This window comes from Homo sapiens, chromosome 19, assembly GCF_000001405.40.
Source record: "Homo sapiens chromosome 19, GRCh38.p14 Primary Assembly".
NCBI classification, from domain to species: domain Eukaryota; kingdom Metazoa; phylum Chordata; class Mammalia; order Primates; family Hominidae; genus Homo; species Homo sapiens.
Window position 1 is genome coordinate 51,111,595 of NC_000019.10, and position 8,065 is coordinate 51,119,659.

An 8,065-nucleotide genomic window follows, 5' to 3' on the forward strand; every position below is an offset into this window, starting at 1 on the left:
GGTCCTCTTTCTGGCCAAACCATGTCAATCAACTTGCCAGGAGCCTTGTACTCCACAGCGCTGTCATTTCTCTGCAAACTCCCCAGGTGAGCTCATCCACTCCTGCCACTCCCGCAACTTCCGTCTCTGCCCTGATGCCTCCCCACTTTCCTGCATATCTCCACTGCATCCCGAGACTCGGACCTGCACAGTTAGCCCCTGGTGGTGGCACTGGCATGCTTCAGCCTCTAGGTGAGGATCCTGAATCACTTCGCTGACTCTTTTTCTCACCCACTGCTCCCCATTGTTCAGTGAAACTTGCCAGTTTTGCTTCTTGAAAGTTTCTCAGACCATTCCCTTCATCCTTGTGGCCCTGCCTTGGCTCAGCTCATCCTTTTTTTTAAATTATTCATTTATTTATTTATTTTTTTTGAGATGGAGTCTCACTCTGTCACCACAGCTGGAGTGCAGTGGCATGATCTCAGCTCATTGCAATCTTCGCCTTCCAGCTTCAAGCAATTCTCGTGCTTCAGCCTCCGGAGTAGCTGGGATTACAGGTGTCTACCACCATGCCCAACTAATTTTTTTATTTTTAGTAGAGACACAGTTTCACTGTGTTAGCCAGGCTGGTCTTGAACTCCTGACCTCAAGTGATCTGCCTACCTCGGCCTCCCAAAGTCCCAGGATTACAGATGTGAGCCACTGCGCCGGCCGTTTCTTGCCTGGACTCTCTCACCCCAACCTCTAATCCCTTCATTCCTGAATCCTCCCACACTAGCCCCAGATTTAACCTTGTCTCTCCCCTTCTCGAAACTCTTCCATGGCTCCCCATTGCCATCAGGCTTTCCATTGTCAAACCTCTGCAGACTGCAACGGAGGTGCTGCATGATCTGGTCCCTGCACACCCTTCCAGCCTCAGAATGCCTTGCCATCTCCAGGTCATCTAGCTGCCATCCTAAGCAATCCGCGTCTGGTGGAAGATATGGTGGCTGGGCTCAGCTGTCTCTCTCCAGCTCTGGGAGCTTTGGTTCCTGCAGCATCAATGTGCATCTCTGAGGGCCATTTCCTATATCTGGTGCTTGTTACTGGCAGCACTTGCTTCCCCACCCCTCGAAGGGCTAGAAGCTTCCCTGGGTAGAATTTCTGCATGAAGAGAGTTCGTTCACCCGTGGAGCCTACTGAGGAACGGGATTTTTGTCTGTGGTTGGTTGGTTTGTCTGTTTTCATTGTAGTGTATCAAACAGTCCTTATTTTGCCCTAAGTCCAGCTCTGTCCCACTGCCTTCTTGTTAGTTTTTGCATCTCCTTACTAAATGGTAGGTCTGCCTGGGTTCCCACAGCAGTGCTAATAAACTTTGTTGGCCAGAGGAGGCACCAGGAAAGACTCTCTGTTGGCAACACTCTCTGAAGGGCCCTCTGTTTCTCTTTGGCCTTGTCTCTCGTTCTCCTCATCCCAGGAGCCTTTTATGTGAGTTTCCACAGCTCCTCCTCGCACCCTCTCTTCTCTCTGCACTTCTCGTGGCTCCCCCCGATGTCTTGCACACCATGCTGTTCATCCCAATCTGCTCTGAGCCCCAGACAACCACATTTCCCCCCTTCTCAGTGATGGAACCATCATCATTATCCAAATTAGGATTCTAGGAGTCAGATAGATATTTCTCTATCACCTACCATATCCTGTTTGCAAGATGTCTTGCAAACTTCCCTTCCTGGAATAGGCTCACTTCACTCCCCCTTCAACATCCCCATGGCCTCTGCTCCTAGTCATTTCATCCTCTTCCTCTTCTGCTCAGACCTCCACTCTGTTTTCCTCTCCAACTTCTTGGCCTCCACTCTCCTCCTCTCCCTAAAGTCTCCCTCACATCACCCCAGAGGGATACCTTCTCCCACCAAGAGCTGACTCTGCCCCTCCCCCTTGCTCTTAATCCTTCCATGGCTCCCCAGTGCCCTCAATATAAAGTCAAGACTTTTTTTGATATGTAAGCCTGCAAGATACGGCTTGCAACTATTCTTCCAGAGTCATCATGCCTTGATACCTACCTCTGGGGTCATTTAGCTGACTACCTGCCCCACATTTGGACGTCTCTGAACATTTGTCACCTGGTAGCCCAATCCTTAAGAGGGGAGAAACAGGCCTGCCAGTCTTGCCCTTCCCCTTTATCTGTTTGTGCTCAGCTCTGGGGCCCTGGAAAATGCTCCTCACTCCTCATTCCCAGGGCAAGTCTCCATCTAACATGTAGTAATAGGTGAAGACATTTTTGTCTATTTTGTTCAACAAGAATCATACCTGACATATAATAAACTCTCAATATATGTATTCAAAAATTAAAAAATAAAGCTGTTACTTGTGAAATCTCTGCCTGTAGCCCAGGTCTTTGTTCTGACCCCAGCACCCTCCTAATGGCCCCGTTGTCTGTGAAGGCATTTTCAATGCTCTCCACTGTGCTAGATGGTGAGCCCATAGGGACAGAAATTGGGTTTGTTCTGACTCCTAGAGTGACTTGGTAAATATTGTTGATATAGGATAAGGCTCAGAGAAACCTCTGTCTCAGTTTGATAGGACCCCGAGAAACAAAACTGGCAAGTTGGAGAATCTAGCTCCTTTACAGCCAGCAGCAAGTGAGGCTACTCTTTGTCCTGGAGGGAGACATTACCCCATCCCTCAGGGTGGCTCCCTGCAAACACAACCTGAGAACTAGGCCAGGTAACGAGATCTCAGACCATCATGTTTTGGGCAATACCCAACGAGATGTGTAGGAGGACGGGAGGCTCATGGAGATCTGTCCTTCCCAACAGGCTGCCCTACTCTTCTTAGATGATGTGGGAAACTGCAAAATCCTCTCATCAAATTCTCTTTTACCAGCATACACAAAGATTCCATCACTTGTGATCGACGTCTTAGTCAGTAAGTCTGGACCATTTTGACTGGTTTCCAGTCAGAAAACCAGGAGGATGTGGTGAACAGAGAAACCCCAGTACTCACATTTCACTATTCTTTGCTTTCTCTCTTCATGCTTTGTTTGAAGAAGTTGCAAAATGAGATGACTGGAAGAAAGGGACATGATAGCTAAATAAAGCTTCCTTTTCTTGGTCAGGCACTATAAATCTATTGCACTTTCTCCTGTCTAACAGAAGTCAAACTTTTCTTTTTTTTGAGATGGAGTTTCACTCTTGTTGCCCAGGCTGGAGTGCAATGGTACCATCTCAGCTCACTGCAACCTCTGCCTCCTGGGTTCAAGCGATTCTCCTGCCTCAGCCTCCTGAGTAGCTGGGATTACAGGCGCCCGCCACCACACCCAGCTGATTTTTGTATTTTTAATAGAGACGGGGTTTTACCATGTTGGCCAGGCTAGTCTCGAACTCCTGACCTCAGGTGATCCGCCTGGCTTGCCCTCTCAAAGTGCTAGGATTACAGGCATGAGCCACAACACCTGACCTTACTATTGTAAGTATTAGTTCTAAAAACTGGCGGCCCCTCCTCTGAGTCCCTGTCACTCCAGTTCTCAATCTCTCTCCATATGGCTCAATGCTCTCCTGGAATCATTGTCCCTTCAGGTCCCCATTAGGATCTTCAGTCTTAGGCCCATTTTTTCCCCCTATAGTTTTTCCTATAGTCTCATTATCCTTAAGTGAACAGGAACAACAGGACATCCAGCAGAGTCCCTGAGGATGAACTGGGAAGCAGAGAGGAAGAACATAAGAGAAGCTCGGCCTACTGATGACAGAATCTGTTGCTCCCCAAATCCTTTTCTCTTGGGCAAGCCAGACCTTCCCACCAGCCCATGTTATATGGCTGCCCTTTTGGCTCGAGGCTTAGGTTTCATGCTCGTGGGGTCAGACCCCTCTGCAGAGCCGGGTAATACCTGAACTCAGGAGCTGATGGTGCTGCAGTTCCACGGACGGACAGCACCATCCCTGCTGCCCGGGGCTTACCAGGTCCACCCTGTCTTGGGGGGACAGCTATGACTTTGTGTGTGGCCCCTCCTTTATCTGCATCCCAGAAAAATTCTTTCAAGATAAGGTTGGAGGGAGGAGAGAGTTCACTATATCACAGCACATAAAGGATCGGGGCAGATACACATTTCTAGGTCCTCACCCTACAATCCTAGGGATGTCACCTCAACTACCCTGATGTGTGATGTCTTCTGAAGCTCACGTGATCACCAGCCCAATGTCTCCTGTGGTGGTGCAGCAGGGTGGGTGGGGGAGCCAGGATTCCCAGTCCCTGTGCCCAACACGGGGTCCAAGGAGGGTTCAGGACTTGGGATACTTAGCGCCTGGTTCCTGGGGACCAGACTGAGGAGGGGACAGGAGGAATTCCTCAACCCGCCTTCTTTGCTGTTTTGGTGACTGTAGAAGGATGCAGGGCCACCACCCCACTTCACCTCCTACACCGATGTGGGAACTGTTCTATTTCTGTACCAGACACTCCAGTTTTGTTGTTGTTGTTTGTTTGTGACGGAGTCTTGCTCTGTCACTCAGGCTGGAGTACAGTGGCGCCATCTCTGCTCGCTGCAAGCCCTGTCTCTCGGGTTCATGCCATTCTCCTGCCTCAGCCTCCTGAGTAGCTGGGACTACAGGCACCTGCCACCACATCCGGCTAATTTTGTTTTTGTATTTTTAGTAGAGACGGGGTTTCACTGTGTTAGCCAGGATGGTCTCGATCTCCTGACCTCGTGATCCACCTGCCTCGGCCTCCCAAATTGCTGGGATTACAGGCGTGAGCCACTGCGCCCGGCTGAGACACTCCAGTCTTCTAGACATCATTGCCTTTCAAGGAAACAGCACAGGTAAGAATCTTCCTTCTTCGGGGCTGGTTGGAAATGGGGTCGCTGCCCACCCACATCAGAGGTGGATTCGAGGCTCATATGATGGGAAAGATGAGATTTGACAGGAGAAGCTCTCATTCCACCACAGTCAGGCTTTTGCCCACAAACCTTCATTTAAAAACCATGGTCAGTCCAAGATCACCACCACCATTCTCTCAGACCTCACAAGTTGAAGCCTTGGAAACTGAGAAATGGTAGCATCAGCACCAAATACTCAAGAGGACAGATGCCGGTGGGGAATCCCAATCCCCCAGGCTTCTGTTCTGGACCTGGAGCCTGAGACCTCTCGGGGGAAGGGGCACCTCAAACACTTGTTCTTGTGGATCGACTGTGTCTCTAGTTAATAGATTACAAGTGACTTTATGCAAATTTGTTAGTATAGGGAAAGAAATGCAGGCTTTAGAATAAGAGAAACATGGATTCTATACTGATTCCTCCACTTACTAAGAGGTTGAAAATGGGCAAGTCACTTTACCTCTCTGTGCCGCAGTTTCCTGCTTGTAACGTGAGAAATAACAAGCCCCAGCCCACAAGGATGGCGTGGCACATGCCAATCACCATACCCAGGTCCTGGCACAAGGGGCGGGTTCTGTGTGTGCTGGTTTCTTACCCCTTGAATAGTAAGGTCCTGGGATCAACTTGTCCTGATGCTAGGACTGCAAGTTCCCCAGTGCATTAAATGAATGCCCGACATTTAAATAAAAGGAGATGAAACTTCATCAGCAATGTCAAAACCAGCAAATGAATAAAACATCGCACCACACACTTCAAAAGGGGATCAAGTAGGAAGGACACTGAAAGATGTGGGGTGGCACTAACAACTTTCTCCCCCTGAATGGTGGGGAGGAGTCCCCAGAAGCAGCTATGGAAGAAAATTTGGGCTGAATTAACCCTGAGAATTTTCCAAGATGCCCCCGCCCCCATATGCACATGTGCCCACTCATACGAGTAGACAAAGCTGGCTAAAATAAACAAAAAGAATTCCAGAGAAGAAGCCTTACATACTACTGGGGCCATATCAGAGGATAACCAGAAGTTAACATCTTTTAACACCCTGTTTTGAGTTGAGGTTATTGAGAAATTCCACTCTAAACAATACCCAACATAAGTGCATATACATACCAGAAGACATGTTCATAGCAGACTCCTCATAATAGCCCCAAACTAAAAATAATCTCAAAGTCCATCTAAAAATGAAGAGTTATGTAGTGTTCAGTATATGCACAGAATGGAGATCTTTCAGCAGTGAGAATGAATGAATTATTGACAGGTGAAACATCATGGACAAATTTAACAAACAGAGATTGAGCACAAGAAGCCAGATACAATGGCCGGGCGCAGTGGCTGACTCCTGTAATCCCAGCACTTTGGGAGGCCAAGGCAGGCGGATCACAAGGTCAGGAGTTTGAGACCAGACTGACTAACATAGTGAAACCCCATCTCTACTAAAAATACAAAAAATTAGCTGGGCATGGTGGCGGGTGCCTGTAATCCCAGCTACTTTGGAGGCTGAGGCAGGAGAATCGCTTGAACACGGGAGGCAGAGGTTGCAGTGAGCCGAGATCGTGCCACTGCACTCCAGCCGGGGGGACAATGCAAGACTATGCCTCAAAAAAACAAATAAGTAAAAAATAAAAAGAAGAAGCCGGATACAAGAGTACACACTGGCCGGGCGTGGTGGCTCATGCCTGTAATCCCAGCCTTTTGGGAGGCTGAGGTGGGCGGATCACAAGGTCAGGAGATCGAGACTAACCTGGCTAACACGGTGGAACCCCGTCTCTACTAAAAATACAAAAAATTAGCCGGGTGTGGTGGCAGAGGACTGTAGTCCCAGCTACTCGGGAGGCTGAGGCAGGAGAATGGCTTGAACCCAGGAGGTGGAGCTTGCAGTGAGCCGAGATCACGCCACCGCACTCCAGCCTGGGCGACAGAGCGAGACTCCTTCTCAAAAGAAAGGAGTACACACTGAAAGTTACATAAAAACACAATACAGACAAAACTAATCCATGATAATAGGAGTTATACTGGTGACTTTGCAGGCGGGGTAATACCTAGGAATGGGAACTGGTGAGGCTCCTGGGTGTAGGTTGTTGTTACAAAAATGTATTCATTTCATAGACATTGATCAGGCATACCTTTATAATTGGAACAGCTTTCTCCATGTATGCTTTGCTTCAAAATCTTTTATTTTAAAAGACTATAAGAGGAAGCTGGACACAGTGGCTCATGCCTATAGTCCCAGCAATTTGGGAGGCTGAAGTGGGAGGATCACTTGAGGCCAGGAGTTTGAGACCAGATTGGGCAACATAGTGAGATCTCTGTTTCAGGAAAAAAAAAAAAATTAGCCAGGTGTGAGGGTGTGCACCTGTAGTCCCAGCTACTGGGGAGGCTAATGTAGGAGGATCACTTGAGTAGGTCAAGGCTGCAGTGAGCTGTGATCGTGCCACTGCACTTCAGCCTGGGTGACAGAGCAAGACCCTATCTCAAATAAAAGACTATAAGAGAATACTTCACATATATATTTGCTAATTAATTTTAAAATTTACATAATATAAAAAGATTATTGCAAAAATATAAATAACTGGGACTGTCTCAAGAAAAAAAAAACCCAAATAGTTCTATTGTCTTAGTCCGTTTTGTGTTGCAGGTTAAAGGAATACCTGAGGCTGGGTCATTTATAAAGAAAAAAGGTTTATTTGGCCCGTGATTCCGATGTCTGGAAAGGTTTGAGATTGGGCATCTGGTAAAGTCCTCAGGCTGCTTCCAATCCTAGTGGGGGATGATGGAAGAGGGGGCTGATGTGTGCAGAGATAACATGATAGGAGAGGAAGCAAGAGAGAGGGAGGGAGGTGCCTGACTCAGAGCTTGAGCACCGACTCACTGGCAGGCAGGGGCACTCATCTATTCCTGAGGAATCCAGCACCATGACCCAAGCACCTCCCATGAGGCCCCACCTCCAACACTGGGATCAACTCTCAACAGGTTTGAGGGCACAAACCTCCAGACTACAGCACTGATATTCATATAGGAATTCATTCAGTAGCAAACACTGATTTCCAGGGAAGAAATTCACGGGTAAGTTCTTCTGAATATGCAAGGCAGAAATATTTCCAGGTTTTCATGAGCACTTCCACATGTGGAAGTCTTTCTGCTGGCGAAAGACACATTCGCCAGCAAACTCTGAGGAGTCTTTTGCTTTCCCTAGACCTCACTGAATTCTGCACAGCAGGGAAGAGGGGAAGGCTGATCTCAGAAAAC